Consider the following 21,447-nt stretch of genomic DNA (forward strand, 5'->3'; position numbering starts at 1 on the left):
CAACATGGTGAAACCCCATTTCTACCAAAAATATAAAAAATTAGCCAGGTGTGGTGGTGGACGCCTGTAATCCCACTACTCGGGAGGCTGAGGCATGAGAATCGCTTGAACTGGGAGGTGGAGGTTGCAGTGAACTGAGATTGCACAACTGCACTCCAGCCTGGGTAACAGAATGAGAATCTGTCTCAAAAAAAAAAAAAGAGTTTACCACCATATTTGCCACATAGTAGTGGCTTGACAAATGCTAGGTATTTTTTTTTTTTGAGATGGAGTCTCCCTCTGTCACCCAGGCTGGAGTGCAGTGATGCGATCTTGGCTCACTGCAACCTCTGCCTGCCGGGTTCAAGCCATTCTCCTGCCTCAGCCTCCCAAGTAGCTGGGACTACAAGTGCACGCCACCATGCCTGGCTAATTTTTTGTATTTTTAGTATAGACAAGGTTTCACTATGCTGGTCAGGCTGGTCTCAAACTCCTGACCTTGTGATCCTCCCACTTCTGACACCCAAAGTGCTGGAATTACAGGTGTGAGCCACTGCACCCGGCCAATGCTAGCTATTTTAAAAAATTATTATTATTAGCTATTATTTTTATTTTTATTATTTTATTAAGGGATATATTAATATCCATAATTAGGACTGTAACTTTCTTTCTTTCTTTTTTTTTTTTTGATTCGGAGTCTCGCTCTGTTGCCCAGGCTGGAGTGCAATGGCACAATCTTCGGCTCACTGCAACCTCTGCCTCCCGGGTTCGAGCAATTCTCCTGCCTCAGCCTCCTGAGTAGCTGGGATTACAGGCGCCCACCACCATGCCCAGCTAATTTTTGTATTTTTAGTAGAGACGGGGTTTCACCATATTGGCCAGGCTGGTCTTCTGGCCTGGCTGGTCTCAAACTTCTGACCTGGTGATCCACCCTCCTCGGCCTCCCAAAGTGCTGGGATTACAGGCGTGAGCTACCGTGCCCAGCCAGGACTGTAACATTCTTGAAGGCAAGAACTGTTCTAATTCAACTCTCTCTTCCCAGGACTCAACACAGGGCAGGGACACAGTGTGTGTGTGTGTATATTTGAGTGTTGCTTGCATACATGGATATTACATTTTAAAATCTGAATTTAGTGCAATTTTTAATTTTTATTTTTTAATAATTTTTATTTTATTTTATTTATTTTATTTAATTTTCAGACAAAGTTTCACTCTTGTCCTCCAGGCTGGAGTGCAATGGCATGATCTTGGCTCACTGCAACCTCCACCTCCTGGGTTCAAGCGATTCTCCTGTCTTAGCCTCCCAAGTAGCTAGGATTACAGGCATGCGCCACCACGCCCGGCTAATTTTTTGTATTTTTAGTAGAGATGGGGTTTCACCATGTTGGCCAGGCTGGTCTTGAACTCTTGACCTCAGGTAATCTGGCCTCCTCGGCCTCCCCTAGTGTTGGGATTACAGGCGTGAGCCACCACCCCTGGCCTTTTTTTTAAAGTATTTTTGATACAGGGTCTCACTCTGTCACCCAGGCTGGAATGCAGTGGCATGGTCTCGGGTCACTGCAACCTCTGCCCCCCACCCCTGGGTTCAAGCGATTCTCCCACCTCAGCCTCCCGAATAGCTGGGATTAGAGGCACCCGCCACCACACCCAGCTAAGTTTTTGTATTTTTTGGTAGAGATGGGATTTTGCTATGTTGGCCAGGTTGGTCTGAAACTCCTGACCTCAAGTGATCCACCTGCCTTGGCCTCCCAAAGTGCTGAGATTACAGGCATGGGCCACCGCGCCTGGGCTTAGTGCAATATTTGAGGCACTCAGATTTTTTTTTTCCTGTGCTGCTGGTTTTGGTCCTATGTGGGCAATAAAACAAGGAACCTTTCAGGAAAGTACTTCTCACACTTTAATGTGCATGCTAATTATCTGGAGAGTCTTGTTAGAATGCAGATTCTGATTCTGCAGGTTTGGGGTGGGGACTGGGATTCTGCATTTCTAACAGGTTCCCAGATAAGGCCAATGTTTCTGGTTCAAGGATCCCACTTAGGGTAGCAGAGCTTTAGACTTAATTCCATCAGCAGATTCCTTATTACCTATTTCTGATAGAATTCTTGGTGCTCTCAGGAATCTGAAGCCCAGATAATAGAGGGAGATCCCAGGTGTCCTCTGCCACCCTGTTAGCTGAGGGAGACCCAAAAACTTTGGCTTCCGTGAAAAGTCCTCCTCCAGTTGTCCCCAAAGTTGTAGCATGAGTCCTTCCAAATCTTTTCTCATGATTATACAAATACATATTCCCCCATATAAGATTAAGATTTTTATATATAGATAGATTTTTTTTTTATTTAGGTTTTTTTTTTTGTTTTTTTTTTGAGACGGAGTGTGGCTCTGTCGCCCAGGCTGGAGTGCAGTGGGGCAATCTCGGCTCACTGCAAGCTCCACCTCCCAGGTTCACGCCATTCTCCTGCCTCAGCCTCCCGAGTAGCTGGGACTACAGGCGCCCGCTACTACGCCCGGCTAATTTTTTGTATTTTTAGTAGAGACAGGGTTTCACCATGTTAGCCAGGATGGTCTTGATCTCCTGACCTCGTGATCCGCCCGCCTCGGCCTCCCAAAGTGCTGGGATTACAGGCGTGAGCCACAGCGCCCGGCCTATGTTTTACATATATAACAATTTATATATAACTACATATATAATATATATAACAGTTTATATATATATATAACAGTTTATATATATAATATATATAACAGTTTATATATATATATATAACAGTTTATATATATAATATATATAACAGTTTATATATATAATATATATAACAGTTTATATATATAATATATAAGTTTATATATTATATATAACAGTTTATATATAACAGTTTATATATAATATATATAAGTTTATATATAACAGTTTATATATATAATATATATAAGTTTATATATAATATATATAAGTTTATATATATGTTTATATATAATATATATAACAGTTTATATATATAATATATATAACAGTTTATATATATAATATATATAACAGTTTATATATATAATATATATAACAGTTTATATATATAAAATATATAACAGTTTATATATATAATATATATAAGTTTATATATATAATATATATAACAGTTTATATATATTATATATATATATATGCACACACACAAAGAGAGAGAGAGAGACTCGCTCTGTCGCCCAGGCTGTAGTGCAGTGGTGTAATCACAGCTCACTATGAGGCAGGAGAACAGGGAATCAGGGTAACCGGGGGTTAAGACATAAGCAAATGAAGGGGTGCAGCCAGTTCTAGGCAGCATACAGGCCACATCTTCAATCCTATGATAACGAGACAGAAGTTTCCACTTCCGCCTCCGATTGACCGTGGGGCCAAATCTCCACTTCAGCCTCTGATTGGCTGTGGGCCAAGTCTCCACTTCAGCCTCTGATTTGGTCGCAGGCCAATCCTTCATAGGTGTAGCCAACTGGAGGCTTCTAAAGGGCACCTAGGGGTGTTGCCAGGTCCCTTTAGCTTAATACAAACCCTGATTGAGGAGGCTCTTGAGCAGCTTGCTCTAACCAGCTGCCGCTATGAATCGTCTTCAATAAATCTATGCTTTTGTTATTCCGTTCTTCTGTTGCTGTTTGTCTTTCGTTGCCCTTCTGTTACTTTATGTGTTTTGTTCAACACGCCAAGAACCTGGACAACTCTATGCTGGTAACAACTGCAGGTAACCTGGTAACAACTGCAGTTTCAAACTCTCCTGGGCTCAACCCCAGCCTCCCAGGTAGCTGAGACTATAGACGCATGCCACCACACCTGGCTAATTTTTTTATTTTTATTTTTATTTTTGGAGACAGAATCTCACTCTGTCGCCCAGGCTGGAATGCAATGGCATGATCTCGGCTCACTGCAACCTCCGCCTCCCAGGTTCAAGCGATTCTCCTGCCTCGGACTCACAAGTAGCTGGGTTTACAGGAGCACACTACCACGCCTGGCTAATTTTTGTATTTTTAGTAGAGATGGGGTTTCACCATGTTGACCAGGCTGGTCTCAAACTCCTGAACTCAAGTGATGCTTCCTGGCTCGGCCTCCTGAAGTGCTAGGGTTACAGATGTAGTTTTTAAAGTTTTTGTAGAGTGGGGTCTTGCTGTGTTGCCCAGGCTGGTCTTAGACTCCTGGCCTCATGTGATCCTCCTCGGTCTCCCAAAGTGCTGTGATTACAGGTGTGAGCCATTGTGCCCAGCCCAATTTTTAATTAAAAAATGGAATGATGGAATGCACATTACTTTGCATCTTTTCCCCCTTAAAAATACATTCTTAGTATACCTAAAGGAGTAAATCTACCTCATTCTTTTGAAAAGTGGCCTAATATTCCATAGAATGGGTGTATCGTGATTTATTCAATTTATTTAATGTATCAGTGGGCATTCTGGCTGGTTCCAGATTTTTGCCATTGAACAATCTCATGCATACATCTTTATGATGTGGTGCACTTAAAATCTTTAAGAGACAGATTCAATATCTTAAGGTGTAACAACCACCCAGATCATGGTACTTTTATCCTTATATTAAAATTTTTTTCTGTTAACCTTGGATAGCTGCTTACATATTTTTTCTTTTTCAAAATTTTTCTATTAACCTTGACATGGTGCTTTTACTTCCTAAAGTGGAATTCCTGTATGAAAGCCTATGAGCTTTTATATCTTACTCATTGCAGCTGCATTACTGTGGGAGCTGTCCCTCTAGAGACACTGGGCTGCAATGGGAAGTGTCAGGGAGAGCTTAAGCTCCATATCACTTGAGTCTAAACCTGGAGGGATAGAGCGTGTCCGTGAGGATCCCAGGGCCTGGAGAGCAATTTAGGGTAATATTCAGAAAGCAGCGCTCAGGAGAAGCACTGGGACGCTGTTTAGGTAAAATCAACCCAAAAGACCCTGATTCCCAGAGTACTTTGAGGTCCAGAAGAACTGGGCTGGAAGCAGGTCCTGCTATTAATTGGCTGTGATCTTGGGCAAGTTATTTAACTTCTCCAGGTCACAGTTTGCTCTTTGGAAAACGGAGATAAGTCACACCTGCTTTCAGGGCGGACACCCTTACTTTACATCAGAATCATCCGATGCCATTCCTAGCGTTTCGGCTTCAGTAGGTGGGAATCAATTATTTGCATTTCTAATAGGTAATCAGTTGATAATGATGCGGCCGGTCCGGTACACTCGAAAAACCACTGTTCCAGGATATTCCAAGATGTTCCAAGAGTCTTAAACACCTGGTGCAGTTCCGAGCACAAGGCACACGAACGGTGCTATTAGCGTTTCTAACCCCGCAGAGAACTCCTCGCACCCCAGTCCTCAAAATCCCGCCCCGGACAGCGGAGGCCGGGGCAGTAGCTTCCAGACCCAATTGCCCGCGCAAGGGGGCGTGGCAGCATCGTTGGGCGGGGCCGCCTGTAAGAGAACGCGGCTAAAGGTGGGGCCAAGCGTGCGGTTTGCTGCGCCTGCGTGAGGAAAAAGAGGGGGGCGTGGCTCCAGGCCGGAAGAGGGAGTCTGTAGGGGCGGGCCGGCTGGCGTCCCCTTTCCGGCCGGTCCCCATGGAGGCGCTGGGGAAGCTGAAGCAGTTCGATGCCTACCCCAAGACTTTGGAGGACTTCCGGGTCAAGACCTGCGGGGGCGCCACCGGTAGGCCGCAGCGGGGCCGGGGTCGCGTGGAGGGGGGCGTCCTAGAGCTTAGCCCGGGCTCCTGGACTCTGACTGGCCTGCCGGTGTCTGAGGGAGCGGATTCGAGGCCATTCTGACCCTCGCCCCTTGTCCTGCAGTGACCATTGTCAGTGGCCTTCTCATGCTGCTACTGTTCCTGTCCGAGCTGCAGTATTACCTCACCACGGAGGTAAGGGGCGGGGCTTAGTGCGTGGGCGGGGCTTGGCATTCTAGGAGTAGGACCTTTAGGGGTGGGAGTGGGGAAGGAGAGGTTTGGGGCTAAGTCTTACTGAGGTAGCGCTGCCCCAGGTGCATCCTGAGCTCTACGTGGACAAGTCGCGGGGAGATAAACTGAAGATCAACATCGATGTACTTTTTCCGCACATGCCTTGTGCCTGTGAGTACCTCACCATGGGTGGGACTGGAGAGACCCAGGGTTCTCATGTGGGCTGCCAGATTCACACCTCCACCCTTAGGTTCTGGACTGGACCCCAGGACAACCTCCTTCTCCTCATCCCGTTCTGCCCCAAGACAGGCCCAGTATCCCCTTCCCCTCCAAAACCCACATCCCCTTGTCCCTAGGGTCCCAGTACCTTAGCCTGATTTTCCTGCTTCCAGATCTGAGTATTGATGCCATGGATGTGGCCGGAGAACAGCAGCTGGATGTGGAACACAACCTGTTCAAGCAACGACTAGATAAAGATGGCATCCCCGTGAGCTCAGAGGCTGAGCGGCATGGTAACCAGGGGAGGGGGCCGGGTCTCAGATCCCAAAGCTGGATGTACCCAAGCCTATCTGCTAGCAAGTGAACTGTGGCAGGCATAGTGATACATTAAACAACTAAGAGCTAGAGAAGTCAAGTGACTTGCCTAGGGTCCCCCAGCTAGTAAGAGTCAGAGTGAGCTAAAATCCTCTATACATATCGAGTCAGGTAATCTACCTGGCTATTATTCTCAGAGGTCCTCAATACCTGCAGATGGTAGTTTGAATACCAGAGGTTTGAAGATAGGTCTTATGTGCTCTTGCCTTGGTAGAACTGTCTAGATGGACCCAGGCTTCTTTGAGTGTTTGCTTTCCCAGCCCATTGGCTTAATTCAGCCCTTAATGCTCTTCCCCTTTGGAATGCAGGTGGTTTAATGAGAATTTAGGTTCTCAAGTCAGATTGCCTGGGTTCACATCTAGCTTTGTCTCCTGCAGTCTGTGAGCTTCAGCTAGAAAGTGGTAATAAAACAGTAGTACCAACCACATGGAATTGTAAGATCAAATGAAGTCATATGTGTAAAATGCCTGGTACAGAGTGGGTACCCACTTTTACCTTCCTTTCCTTTATCTTGGTGGCTTCCCAATTCCCTTCGTTAACTCAGTTTCCCACCACAGCAAACTGTCCTCAAAGCTGGGATTTCTAACACCTTAGAGATTACTCTGGTGGGGAGTTTTATCATTCGTTGTTTCAGCAGATTAATGCAGGACACCAGTGGAACCAACATAATTTGCTATAGGACTGGATGTGGAGTGGAGGAGAGCAAAGTCATGGTTGTTGATTCCAACGCTTTCAGCCTGAGCAAATGAATGACTTGAGATGGAGATGACTGGAGGAGAAGGTTTTTTTGGTGGGAGGGAGGAGTGGCTATTGGATATCCACTGCTGTGTAACAAAGTACTCCAAAAGTTAGTAGTTTGATACAATAAAAATGTGTTTTTTCAGTTTCCCTGGGTCAGGAATTTAGGAGTGGCTTGTTTGGGTGATTCGGGATTAGGGTATCTCACGAGGTTGCAGTCATCTAAGGATTGATGGGGCACTGAAGAATCTACTATCTATCTATCTATCTATCTATCTATCTATCTATCTATCTATCTATCTGTCTATCTTGAGACAGAGTCTCACTTTGTCGCCCAGGCTGGAGTGCAGTGGCGCGATCTTGGCTCACTGCAACCTCCGCCTCCCAGGTTCAAGTGATTCTCCTGCCTCAACCTCCCGAGTAGCTGGGATTACAGGCCTGTGCCACCATGCCCAGCTAATTTTTTGTATTTTTAGTAGAGACGGGGTTGCACCTTGTTGGGCCAGATGGTCTTGATCTCTTGACCTTGTGATCCACCCGCCTCAGCCTTCCAAAGTGCTGGGATTACAGGCATGAGCCACTGCGCCTGGCCTACTTATTTGTTGTTTAAATTTATTTTTTTTCTGTCAAGGTGTTCTTTATTTCAGAGAGAGGGCAGGACAGGGGGCTCAGTCTTTCTTGGCATCAGCTTTCCTCATGATGGCTGGGACATTGCTCAGCTCCTCCTGCCTCCTCTTAGTGCGGATGTGCGTCCCCACTCTTTTCTTGATGAACTTGAGGGCCCGTTTGTCCTTGGAGACCTTGAGTAACACCATGGCGTGCCGCTCATACGGGGCGAAACCACACACCTCTCGGATCATGTCCCACATGAATTTGGTGTTTGGTCAGGCGCCCGCGGCGGCAGCTGTGCCTGGGCTTGCTCATGTTCTTGGTCATCTTGTGGCCCTTGTCAAGGCACACGGCCATAGTGGGTAGCACAGAGCCATGGCTGCTGCTCTCCAATGGCAGCTGTGGCAGAAGGGCTGGTGCCACGCGGGGATCTACTTTTTTTTTTTTTTTTTTTTTGAGTCACGCTCTGTCACCCAGGCTGGAGTGCAATGGTGCGATTTCAGCTCACTGCAACCTCTGCCTCCCGGCTTCAAGTGATTCACCTGCCTCAGCCTTCTGAGTAGCTGGGGTTACAGGCGCCTGCCCCCACACCCGGCTACTTTTTGTATTTTTGGTAGAGACAGGGTTTCACCATCGTGGCCAGGCTGGTCTCAAACTCCTGACCTCAGGTGATCCACCCGCCTTGGCCTCCCAAAGTGTTGGGATTACAGGCATGGGCCACCACGCCCAGCAGGGGATCTGCTTTTAAAGGGCTCACTCATAGGGCTGTTGGCAGGATGCCTCAGTGCCTCACCACATGGGCCTCTCAGTAGGGTTGCTTGTGTGTCCTTGTATCACGGCAACTGGCTTCCCCCACTTGGATCTTGCAAGTGAGCTGAGAGAACAAAGTAGAAACCATAACCTTTGGCCAGGCATGGTGGCTCACGCCTGTAGTCCCAGCACTTTTGGAGGCTGAGGCAGTTGGATCACCTGAAGTCAGGAGTTCAAGACCAGCCTGGCCAACATGGTAAAACCCCATCTCTACTAAAAAATACAAAAAAAAAAAAATTAGCCGGGTGTGGTGGTGGGCACCTGTAATCCTAGCTACTCAGGAGGCTGAGGCAGGAGAATCACTTGAACCAGAGAGGCAGAGGTTGCAGTGAGCCGAGATCACGCCACTGCACTCCAGCTTAGGCAACAAGAGTGAAACTCTGTCTCAACAACAACAACAAAAAAACGTGTAACCTTTTTTATGACCCAGCCTCAGAAGTTGTACACCATCATTTCTGCAATATACTAGTGCTTACACAGGTCAGCCTTACTCATTGTGGGAGAGGACTACATAAGGGTGTGAATACTAGGAAGTGGGGATCATTGAGGACATCTTGGAAACTAGCTTCCACAGAGTAAGGTCAGGATTTGCAGGAAAGAGGAATCTCAGGTTTGGGGTATGTTAAATTTGGGGTTCCTATTTTATACTCTGGTGATATTAAGAGGCAATTAGATGTACCAGTCTAGAATTTAGAGGAGTTATCAGCAGGTACAGGGTAGTTTAAACAACTGGACTAAGAAAACCTGGGGAGTCAATGTAGGTAGAGGATAGGTCTACGGCCTGTACCCTGGGTATCTCCAATATTTAAAAGTCAGGACAGGAAGGAAGATTGGGACGGATTAGCCATTGACGTAGAAGAACCAAGAGGTGTCCCAAAAGCCAAGTGGAGAGAGTTTCAAGAAGAGAGAGTGAGCAGTTGTATCAGAAGCTACTGATAGTCCAGTAAAATGAGGAGTGAGAATTGACCATTGAAATTAGCAACAAAGAGATTCCTGGAGACTTTGAAAGGAACAATTTTGATACTGTTGAGGATGAAAATCGGATCAAAGAGCAAAAAAGGAAGTGGAGACATTACCTATAGGTGACTTGGGAGTTTCACTGTAAGGGAGAGCTGAGAAATGGAGTGGGATCTGAAGGAGAAAGTGGTGAGATGGTGGGTTTGGTGGTGAGAGCAAGTGAAGTTCTGTTGCTTCTCTTTTCTTAGTGGAAATTGAAAGCAAGGACATTAGCTAAGTGAAGAAATAGGAGGGGGTTTTGGGAGCCTAAGGAGAGAGGAGAAGGTCTAAGTCACCTTAGAGAGTGGGAGAGTGAACTGATTAGAGAAATGAAGTGGAATTGCCAGGCAGTCCTAAAGGAGCTTCAGGAAAGAAGTAGGTACAGAGAGTTGAATGGAACCAGGGTGTGGGTTTTGCTGGATTTGTAAATGAAAGACGAGAGGAACAGGGAGTTGTGGTTATGTGCAAGAGAATAATTACAGTGGACCATGGGATTTCAGGAGGGAAGTGAGGACGTGATAGTGTCAGCAGTGTCAAAGAATTGGTGGATTTCGGGTACTAAATAGTGAACTTGGAAAATAAGGGTAAGTAGTTGAAGACTCAGACACTTGAAGTTGAATTTTGGAAGATTTGCAGTTATTGGCAGTGACAGGATCTAGGTATGAGTATGAAAATGGGTAGCTGAGGTGAGATGGCAAAATCAAAAGATTATCATGAGTCGGGAGGTCAGTATTCATTATTGAAATCACCAGTTATGATGGGGTGATTAGAGTGAGGCAAGGAGCCGGTGCAGAGGGAGAGGTGTGAGGAGAAGCACCATGGCAAGAGGTTAGTGGCATACACGTTGGAATTAGCTGAAATCTGTTTCCTCGGTTGCATTGGGCAAAGTCACTTCTCATCAGTGAGCCTCAACATCTTCTCAGTAAAACAGGGATAATTACCGCCACCCTCAAAGAGTCATTGTGGGGATGAAATGAGATGATGGTTGTGAAGTACAGTGATCTGTACACAGCTAATGTTCAGTATTTACTGTTGACTGTTTTCTTACTGTTTCTTTTATTAAAAGAATTGATATGTGTGTAGAAGTGCTTAATGCCTGACCCGTAGCATGTACTATATGAATATTAGTTATTATAACTTTTATTATCCCTAAGCAAAGGGCTTGTGCAGACTGGAGCCACCGATTTCACTGTGTCTGGCCCCAGCTGATGCCTCTGCTTCTCCCCTCCCCTTAGAGCTTGGGAAAGTCGAGGTGACGGTGTTTGACCCTGACTCCCTGGACCCTGATCGCTGTGAGAGCTGCTATGGTGCTGAGGCAGAAGATATCAAGTGAGCTGGCGGGGAGCGGGAGCAGGGTTCCCATCAGGCGCCATCTGTCAGTCAGCCTCAGCCTCAGTCAGACTGTGGCAGGTGGGGAGGTCAGACCAAGAATCTAGAGTGGGCGGGGTATGTGCCTCTGTCATTGATCCTGGTGCAAGCGACTGAGGCTTTGTAACCAGGCCCTATCTGGGAGCTGCAGACCTAGAGATGAAGCTGAAGTGGTCTCTGCTCTTCCACCTAGAGAAATGGTTCAGAGGTGGTCTCTGGAGTCCAGTTACCTGGGTTCTACCCGTTTCCTTGGGCCAAGCCATGTAACCTCTCTATGTGAAGAGGGATGATAATAACATCTTCTCGTAAGAGTCACATATGGATTAGCTGTATACTGTGTGTAAAGCACTGAGGTGGAAGGCCCAGCCCAGATTATTAGACCCTCAGTATCTGATAACTGCTGCTGTTTCCCAGACCCTGACTTCTGCAAGACTGATTCAGCAGGTCTGGAGTGGGGCCTGGGAATGTGTACTTAAATTTTTTTTTATTGTGGGAAAATATGTGACATAAAATTTACCATTTTAACTATTTTTAAGTGTGCAACTCAGTGGCATTAGGTATCTTCACAGTGTCATGCAGTCACCACTCTCTGTCCTAAAACTTGTCATCGCCTCAAACAGAATGGGAATATGTATTTTTCACAGTCCTAGTCTGGGCACAATGGCTTACACCTGTAATCCGTAGCACTTTGGGAGGCCGAGGTAGGTGAATCACTTGAGCTCAGGAGTTTGAGACCAGCCTGGGCAACATAGCAAGACCCTATCTCTAAAAAAATTTTAAAAATTAAAAAAAGAAAACAGTCCTTCTGCCACTGAGGAAACACATTTGGAGAATGTTTGGTGGTCAGGGATGAGGCTAGCAGAGCCTTCATTAGCAGGCAGAGCTGCTCGGGCTCTATTTCCCCAGATGCCAGCACTGGACTTATGCCTCTTTAACACTCTCACCGTCACTCCCTGCCCTACAGGTGCTGTAACACCTGTGAAGATGTGCGGGAGGCATATCGCCGTAGAGGCTGGGCCTTCAAGAACCCAGATACTATTGAGCAGTGCCGGCGAGAGGGCTTCAGCCAGAAGATGCAGGAGCAGAAGAATGAAGGCTGCCAGGTGTATGGCTTCTTGGAAGTCAATAAGGTATCAGGAGGGATCAAGACAAGATAGGGCCAGCTGGGCTGGGCAAGCTCCACTGGGAACCGAGGGCCCAGTCAGGCCCTGAGTAGGCAAAAGGAGGACACAGCCAGTGAATGAGAGAGAATGTTCCTTACAGGTGGCCGGAAACTTCCACTTTGCCCCTGGGAAGAGCTTCCAGCAGTCCCATGTGCACGGTGAGTGATCTGCACTAGCTGGGGAGATTTAGATGCTGGCCACCTTCTTGGTGAGCTTGAGTGGTCCTCTTCTGCCTGCTGCTCATTTGTCTTGGGCAACCATTTGGCCAGAGCAGGCCTTCATCTCAGGGCAGCAGTTTGGCACAGTGGCTAAGAGCACAGGCCGAGGAGCCAGACTGCCTGCATTCAGATACCAGTTTCAGACCTTACTGGCTGTGTGACTTTGAGAAGGTTTCTTAATCTTTTTGACTCCTGTTTTCTACTTTATAAAATGTTGTGAGGGCACTTATCTCACAGGGTGTGTGTGCAGGTTAAAGATGATAGCACGGAGCCTGGCTTGTGGTAGGTACTTGTTGAAATGGTAGCCCCCCGTGTCCGATGATGACCTGTGCATGAGGCTTTGGGAGAAGCAGAGCTAGGTTGGAGCACAGGTTCTGCCACACCTGGGCTATGTCATATTTGGGCCCTATTTAGTTGCTTCTTCTGTAAAATGGGGATGATGATAATAGTACCCACTCACAGGGCTGTTGGGGTGAACAAATGAGATTTATTCTCATTCATTTGTTCATTCATGCATTCACAAAATATTTAGTAATCACCTACTAGTCTAGTTGCTAAGGGTACAGTAGTGAACAATCTGTGCCCTCAGAACATTCTAGTAAAGAAATAGACAATAAGTATATAAAATATAAATAGTCCCCAATTAACAATGGTTCAGCTTGCAATTTTTAACTTCATGATGGGTATTACATGCATTTTTCACTTAACGATATTTTCTTTTTCTTTTTTGAGACAGAGTCTCACTCTGTCGCCCAGGCTGGAGTGCAGTGGCATGATCTTGACTCACTGCAACCTCCACCTCCTGGATTCAAGTGATTCTCCTACCTCAGCCTCTTGAGTAGCTGGGTGTACAGGTGCGTGCCACCACGCCCAGCTAAGTTTTGTATTTTTAGTAGAGATGGGGTTTCATTATGTTGGCCAGGCTGGTCTTGAACTCCTGACCTCAAGTGATCTGCCCGCCTCGGCCTCCCAAAGTGCTAGGATTACAGGCATGAGCCACCGCACCTGGCCGACTTACAATATTTTCAACTTGCAATGGGTTTATTGGGACGTAACCCCAGTGTAGGTCAGGGAGCATCTGTATATGGTATATCAGATGCTGTTAAGTCATATGGACCAAAACAAGGCAGGATAAAGATGGTAATGGGGAGGGGCTAGGGTAGGGCAGTGAGGGTCCTATTTTAAATATGGAGGTCAGGGAAAAACTCTTTGATGAGGTAATATTTTAGCAAAGACCTGAAGACAGTGAGGGAGCCAGCCATGTGGATGTCTGGGGAGGAAGTGTTACAAGCAGAGAGAACAGCAAATGCAAATTCCTAAGGCTAGAATGTGCTTGGCAAGTTCAAGATACAGTAAGAAGGTTAGGGTGGCTGGAGCAGAGGAGCATGCTTAGAAATGAAGTGAGAGAGGCCGGGTGCAGTAGCTCATACCTGTAATCCCAGCACTTTGGGAGGCCGAGGCGGGTGGATCACCTGAGGTCAGGAGTTCAAGACCAGCCTGGCCAACATGGTGAAACCCTGTCTCTACCAAAAATACAAAAATTAGCTGGGTGTGGTGGCACACGCCTGTAATCCCAGCTACTCGGGAGGCTGAGGCACGAGAATCTCTTGAACCTGGGAGGTGGAGGTTGCAGTGAGCTGAAATTGCGCCATTGTACTCCAGCCTGGGTAACAGAGTGAGACTCCATTTCAAAAAATAATAATAAATAAAGAGAGGTCACAGGGCCATATCATGCAGGGCTTGCAGGGGCATTGTAGGGACTCGGGCCGTTACTCTGCATGAGATGAGAAGCCATTGTAGGGCCCTGAAGAAGGTGAGGCATGATCTGACTTAAAAGCTCTCCAGCTGCTCTGTGGACAAGACTGGGCAGGGGAAAGGACAGAATCAGAGAGGCCCATTAGGAGGCAGTTGCAGTGATCAATCCAGGCAAAAGATGGTGGGGCACGGCCCAGAGTGGCAGTGGAAGTGGTGGGAAGTGACTGGCTTCTGGATGTATTTTGAAGGTAGAGCTGAGAAGAGTTCCTGATGGGCATGAGGGATAAAGGAAAAAGGAGTCAAGGATGCCTCCAAAGTTTTGTACCTGAGTAGTAAGAAGGATGGAGTTGCCTGTAATCCTAGCACTTTGGGAGGCCAAGGCAGGTGGATTGCCTGAGCTGAGGAGTTTGAGACCAGCCTGGGCAACATGATGAAACCTTGTCTCTACTAAAAAATGCAAAAAATCAGCCGGGCGTAGCGGCGTGCGCCTGTAGTCCCAGCTACTCGGGAGGCTGAGGTAGGAGAATTGCTTGAACCCAGGAGGCGGAGGTTGCAGGGAGCCGAGATTGTGCCATTTCACTCCAGCCTGAGCGACAGAGTGAGATTCCATCTCCATTAAAAAAAAAAAAAAGGATAGAGTTGCCATTTAGCAAGATGAGGGAGACTCAGGGCAGGTTTAGATGTTCGGAAATGGGATCGTACAGCTGGTATTCGGCTTTTGACGTGTTCAGACCAATAGCATCTGGGTGTCCTTCTAGACACCCAAGGTGTCAAGTAAGTTTTCCATTCAAGCCTGGAGTTCAGGGAGAGGACTTGCCTGGAGATGCAGATGTTGGCATCATCAGCATGTGTATAGAGCTGTGGGACTGGATGAAATCACCCTGGAGGTGAGGGCAGATGGAGAAGAAGGGAAGCTCAAAGGGCTGGGTGCCAGGCCTCCCACATTAGAGGCCAAGGGTGTCAGGGGGAATTGGTAGGGGAGACTGGAGGAGGAGTGTAAGCTGGGAATGTGGCATCCTGCCAGCCACGGACGGGTGTTTCAAATACCACATCAGATGCTTCTGGATGTCAAGCGGGAATTGACCATGGCATGTACATGCAACAGTCACTTATAGCCTTGACTGAGTCATTTAAGGGTGTGACAGGACCACCCTAGAGTGGGTTCGGGAGGGAATGGGGGAGGAGTTGGAGCCAGTATTGACAGCTCTATAGTGGAAATTGCCTAGGGGAGGAGAGAGCATGAGCTGAAGCTAGAGGGAAATGTGGAGTCGAGGGAGGCTTTTCTAAGGAGGGTGATGTAGCAGAATGTTAATATGCTGTTGGAAATTATCGACTAAAGAGCATAAGTGATGCTCCAGAGACGAGACAGTGACCGGAGTGAAGTCCTGGAGAAGGAGAAAGAAGACAGAATCTAGTGCCTTACATATGTGGAAAGTCCAAACTTAGCACCAGGAGGAAGGGCAGGCTCTGTAGGTACAGGTAGGGTGGTAGCTGGTGTGGCAGAAGTACATGGAGAGTCTCTTCTGAGTCTTCCCATCTTCTCCGTGTTGTAGGAAGGAAGGTCCTCAGTTGAGAATGAGGAGAGAGGGAAGGAGGTGTTGGAGATTTGAAAGAAGAAAAGATGTGACTGGTCACTTGGGGGTGGAAGAGTGCGTGGACTGGGGAGATTGAGTAGGATTGATGCAGCCCTAGGGCCTCCCTGGAGTCCGCGGCTGTGAATGCAAAGAGAGCGGTCAGCATGGTTGTCTGTGTGGGAATGGACTCAGTCAACAGAACATTGCAATTGCATGGGGTTTGGTGTTGCCAGGTGCCTGCAAAGGTGAGGGAGTCAAATATGTAAAGAACTCATCTTGATTCTGGACCACAGCATATGAGCTAGGAAAGGAGGAAAGACAGGATGTGGAGAAGCCAGTGAGGGGGCAGGAGGAAAAAGGGACTACAAGTCCTGAGTGTAGTGTCAACAAGTTATTGGAATTGGGGAACTGGAGGAAATTAGAAAGCTGGTGGAGCATGAGTTGCTTGAAATTGAAGTCACAGAAGGGGCTTTGTTAATGACAAAGTTTAGGGAATGGCCAACAGAGCAAGTGGCTTGGGTAGGCAGAGCACAAGATCAGGGAGGAAAGGATGTCCAGGAACTGGGAGGCCCGGGTACTGGAAGGATCATCTACGTGGATATGGAAATCACTAGAACGTGTGACAGAGGTAGTACAGGAGAGAGTGACAGGCAGTTGCCCAAGCTGTTGAAAAATGGCATGGGAAAACTGTTCTGGAGGTTCCATATCGATATCTAGGTGACTGAAACAAGCAGGGCTGCTTTGCCCTGAGCTTCAAAGCTGGGGATTTTTTTTTTTTTTTTTTTTTTTTTTTTGAGGCTGGAGTGCCATGGCACAATCTTGGCTCACTGCAGCCTTGACCTCCTGGACTCGAGATCCTCCCACCTCAGCCTCTCAAGGAGCTGAGACCACAGGCACATGCCACCATGCCTGGCTAATTTTTTTTTTTTTTTTTGCAGAGACAGGGTCTTGCCATGTTGCCCAGGCTCCTGGGCTCAAGTGATCCTCCCGCTTGGCCCCCCAAAATGTTGGGATTACAGATGTGAGCCATTGTGCATTTTTAAGGCAGATAAAGGGAAAGTGATCTGGAAGTGGCAGTAAGGAGCAAGAAAGACTTCTCTTTAGGCCAGGGAAGAGGTTGTGTATGGAGAGAAGATAGTCGCACGTTGAGGGGATGCCAGGGAGTTAGTGCCTGAAAGGAAGAGCCAGGCTGAAGCAAGAAAGTGAAGAGGAACCCAGGGGTTGAAGGCAGGGTTGGGGAAGGTGGGAGTTGGTGTCACAGTAAAGGATGGACAGAGCTGCACAGTGACAGAGCCCAGGGTATGAAGATGGCCTCTCAAAATGGTTGAAGTGAACAGGAAGAAAGGGCCCCCTGGAGGGTAGCTCTGCTGGTCTTCAGGGCAATCTGTGGGGGTGGGGCTGTGTTGGGGAGGGGCCAGTGTGGGGGCTGGAGGACCCTGCAGAGCTCTGGGACCCCCTCTTCACTCTGGAGGAAGCTGGGAGAAAAGGGTCTTGCTGGGAGGGCAGGAAGATGATCAGTGTCAAGCTGTTGGCACAAGGTCTGGCGGGCACTCAGTAGACACACAGCCAGAGTGGCAGCCTCTTGGCCTGGGACTGTTAGACTTGTGGATCCCCGGGCCGGGGGTGCTCTGTATTTGGAAGGATGTATAAATGCAAAGGTACAGTTGCCCAAGGCCAGAGATCTGGCTGAATTGAGGCCTGGGAGTGAGTTTCTAACATCCTTGTTGATTGGGGCTGGGGTGGGTAATAATCTCTTACAGTGTAAAGTTTACAAGTATTTTTCCATCTTAGATCCCACGTGATCCTTAGGACAGCCCTTTGCAAAGGAGAACACTGAGGCCCAGAAAGGGCAACTGATTTGCCCAAGGCCACACAGTCAGGAACTTGGCTCTTTGAGCTCTAGGCCTCTTGTCCTTCTAGGCCACTATTTTGCTCCTCTCTGGCCAGATTAGTTCACTCTCGAGGAGGGGCCCAGAAGGAGGCTTGTTAGCTGGGGCCAGACTGTGTTGCTGAGGCTGAATGTTCCAGTCTTCCCTCCTGCAACATATCTTGCTCTCATAGTTCTCATTGTGAAGCTCTGAATCTTTCTTCTCTCTCCTCCCTCCCCCATGCTGCAGTACATGCTGTGGAGAGTAAGTGGCCCTGCCCCCATGGAGGCCAAACCCCTACTTCTGGGGCAGCCTGCCCTACTAGAATGGCGGGGAGGTTGGATGGGGCTGTGATTGGGTCTCCTCTGACCTGGCTGCTGGGTGACTGTAAAAGGTCTGGGATGTATCTTTGAAGTATGGTTCCTTGCAGCAGGAGGGATTGAGGCTAGAGGGCAGGAATAAATTGTTCTGGAACAGTTGGTACAGGGTCCCCATGGGATTTCTTCTGGGGAGCTTTGAGGGTGGAGGCAGGGAAAGTGTGGATGGCATTCTCAGATCCCACCTCACTTTGAGGTTCAGTGATTTGCCATCAGCTCTAGTTAGTGAGAGCCCATAGTCGGTGGGTTTTGTTTCCGGAGATGCAGGCAGGGCCATGGTGGTAGTCAAGGCATAGAGTTCCCTGTGGACGTCAGGGAGGAACCAGGGTCTGTTCTAAAGACTCCTGAGGAGGGCGTGAACTCTCACACAGGCCCAAGGCTTGCCCTTTCTGGCTGTCCTTAAGCAGGACCAGGAGGTGCCAGGCTGGAGAAGGAATGAGGGGCAGAGAAGACAGGTGGTTTGCAGTCCAGGGGGAGGAAGGAGGAGGCCAGTGCTGCTCCTACTAATGACGCCTTCTCCCTTGCCTTCTCCCTTCTCTCCTAGTCCATGACTTGCAGAGCTTTGGCCTTGACAACGTACGTACCAGATGGAAACCATGGAGGGCAGGTGGGGGTGGGAGGCTTGGTTGCTGCCTTCATTTCCTTGTAGGAACATCCTGGGATGGGGTAGTGCATATGGAAAAATACACCACGTTCTGAATGGGGATCCAGCCTGAGGGTTAAGCGAGAGTGACTTTTGAACTGAACTCTGAGCAGGCTAGGGGCAAGATTGGGGTTGGATAAGAGCATCCTAGACAGACAGAGCCTCAGCGCAAGGTCAGGCGGGAGCATGGCCCTTCTAAGGAACTGCGGGGCAGGTGTGGATGGGTGAGGCTGGAGAAGTCGGCAGGGACCAGACCACACCGGACTCAGAGGCCACGCTGAGGAATCACATCTTTCTCATGAGAACAGTGGAAAGCTGTTGGCCTTCTTTAAGCAGGATCACGACATAATCAGATTTGCATTTTAGGAAAGATCCTTCTAGTGTCTGAGGCTGATACACAAGGGAGCAGGAAGGGAGTGTATCTGGGGGTTCACAGCCTCCAGCCTAGGCCTCCAGGCAAAGCCAGCACCTGCTACTCTGTGTGCCTAACGTACAAGTGAAGCTGGTATTTTAAGAAATCTGGAACCTGGCCAGGCATGGTGGCTCATGCTTGTAATCCCAGCTACTCAGGAGGCTGAGGCAAGAGAATCGCTTGAATAAGGCGAGGCTGCAGTGAGCCAAGATCATGCCACTGCTCTCCAGCCTGGGCAACAGAGTGAGACCTTGTCTCAAAAAAAAAAAAAAAAAAGAAAAATCTGGAACCCCAGGAGTTTGCAGGCTGTGGAAGGAGGAGTTTCTAGGCAGGGAATGGGGGATTCTTATCTCGGGGAGGTTGTCCCCTTAGGACCATAGCCTCCCCTTCCTCCCACATCTCCGCAGACGGACCCAGGTGTCCCTGTCTGCTACTGTCATCAGAGCTTTGGATGAGCTCTGGATGGTGTTGTTTACAGATCAACATGACCCACTACATCCAGCACCTGTCATTTGGGGAGGACTATCCAGGCATTGTGAACCCCCTGGACCACACCAATGTCACTGCGCCCCAAGGTACCAGCCCGGGAGGCAGCCCCCAGCCGCAGAAGGCCGGCCGGGCACCCATACCCAGTGCTTTGTTTTCCCCTCAGCCTCCATGATGTTCCAGTACTTTGTGAAGGTGGTGCCCACTGTGTACATGAAGGTGGACGGAGAGGTGAGTCAGGGAGCTCCCTACCAGAGTCTCCTGCGCGGTGCCAAGCACTGGAGTTCCTGCATTTCGTTCCGTCAGCCTGGGGAGTGAAAGCTGCCTCGTCCTCACATGGCGAATAAAAGACTGAGGCACAGAGAGGGTGGGGGATTTGCCCTCCCAGGCAGAGTGCAGGCCTGGGGCTGTTAGATTTAAAGCGCCTGCTCTTTCTGCTGCCCTCACCGCTTCTATCCGTTCCTCCGGTGCCCACCGTCTGCCTGCCTCACTGTTCTCTGTGGTCTGCCTGGGCTGGGGGTTAGGCAAGGCAAGTCTCTGTGTACCCGCTCCCAAGGCTGCCCTGGCCTGTGGAGCAGCATCTCAGCAGAGTGGCAGGATGCGAGGGGCTGAGGGCAGAGGAAGTCAGGTCAGCCTTGGTGCGTCTTTGGAGAGCTGCTTCTCAGCCTGGACCCCCGTGAGAACACCCACCAAATGCTGCCAGGATAGGTAAACTGTAAAGACTTGGCACCTGGAGGGGAAGGCTGAGGCCAAGACTAGGAGAGGGGGTCTGGCGGGCCAGGCCTTGCAGTGCAGGCCACTAGCACGGTGCTGTGTTCTCTCCTTACACGGCCAAGGCTCAACAGGAAAGGGGAAGGAGCAGGGGTGGGGCTGATGGTGGCTGGAGCCAGGTCCTAGCCCTAGCCCTGGCCCAGGCTCCCCTCCCACCCCAGGTACTGAGGACAAATCAGTTCTCTGTGACCAGACATGAGAAGGTTGCCAATGGGCTGTTGGGCGACCAAGGCCTTCCCGGAGTCTTCGTCCTCTATGAGCTCTCGCCCATGATGGTGAAGCTGACGGAGAAGCACAGGTGAGGATGGGGGCAAAGCGGCCTCTGGGGGCCTGGGCCTGAGGGAGGAGGATGCCTGCTGAGCCCACCCTCTCCTTCTACCAGGTCCTTCACCCACTTCCTGACAGGTGTGTGCGCCATCATTGGGGGCATGTTCACAGGTAAGAGGCCCAGGGCGTCTGTGAGCTGTGGGGTGGGGAGGGTAAAGCCTGGGTGCCCCAGGTTTGGTTGGGGGTGAAGGGGCAGATGCTGGCCTGGCCAGTTAAGTGACAAGGCTCTCAGCGTCAAAAGCCAAGGCCCCCACTGGGCCAGTGCCAGCCCTTGTCTCTCTCCCAGTGGCTGGACTCATCGATTCGCTCATCTACCACTCAGCACGAGCCATCCAGAAGAAAATTGATCTAGGGAAGACAACGTAGTCACCCTCGGTGCTTCCTCTGTCTCCTCTTTCTCCCTGGCCTGTGGTTGTCCCCCAGCCTCTGCCACCCTCCACCTCCTCGGTCAGCCCCAGCCCCAGGTTGATAAATCTATTGATTGATTGTGATAGTACTCACTGGTCTCCGTGTGATCCTTGCCATGGCCAGAGCCTCATCCTGGCCACTCATTGAAGGCAATTGTGACTGACAGATCGGGGCCCAGAGCCCTCGGGAGCCCCACATGGGCATCCCCTAGTTAACCGGGGTTTATTCAAACCAGGTTCATGTCCAGCCCACAGCCCTGTCCTGGGTCCCTCCTCCACTGTGGTCCTCAGGCCTCTCGGGTTCAGCCCCAGGGCTCAGATGGACCTTTTCAGCGTGAGCTTCCTGGAGCCACCATGGCCCCCAGGCTCATGAGTGATCAACCCCAGGCCACTAATTCAGGGCCCTGAGTGCATATTGGGGCTTGCCACTTC

The 21,447-nt window shown here is 49.1% G+C and overlaps 1 protein-coding gene and 1 pseudogene across 2 annotated transcripts, besides 1 other annotated feature; one reads left to right on the forward strand and one right to left on the reverse strand.

Moving 5' to 3' along the window:
* Positions 5,220-5,309: an enhancer, noted in NCBI's record as "active region_17786". NCBI's record gives its function as "activates an Ori minimal core promoter by ATAC-STARR-seq in GM12878 lymphoblastoid cells {active_cell/tissue: GM12878}" and the evidence as "EXISTENCE:reporter gene assay evidence [ECO:0000049][PMID:35858748]".
* ERGIC3 (ERGIC and golgi 3) lies at positions 5,548-21,104 on the forward strand. 2 transcript variants are annotated; one of them, NM_198398.2, is made up of 14 exons: positions 5,548-5,655; positions 5,793-5,863; positions 5,983-6,070; positions 6,292-6,411; positions 10,882-10,975; positions 11,979-12,144; positions 12,278-12,335; positions 17,842-17,856; positions 18,514-18,545; positions 19,503-19,599; positions 19,677-19,741; positions 20,443-20,579; positions 20,664-20,719; positions 20,895-21,104. In NM_198398.2, the coding sequence occupies exons 1-14, from the start codon at positions 5,568-5,570 to the stop codon at positions 20,972-20,974; spliced, it is 1,167 nt and encodes a 388-aa protein (NP_938408.1). In that variant the 5' UTR covers positions 5,548-5,567; the 3' UTR covers positions 20,975-21,104. The 2 variants fall into 2 exon arrangements, with proteins under 2 accessions (NP_938408.1, NP_057050.1); NM_015966.3 differs by lacking the exon at positions 17,842-17,856.
* RPL36P4 (ribosomal protein L36 pseudogene 4) lies at positions 7,853-8,252 on the reverse strand (annotated as a pseudogene).

The sequence above is a fragment of the Homo sapiens genome, chromosome 20, assembly GCF_000001405.40.
Source record: "Homo sapiens chromosome 20, GRCh38.p14 Primary Assembly".
Taxonomy (NCBI): Eukaryota; Metazoa; Chordata; class Mammalia; order Primates; family Hominidae; genus Homo; species Homo sapiens.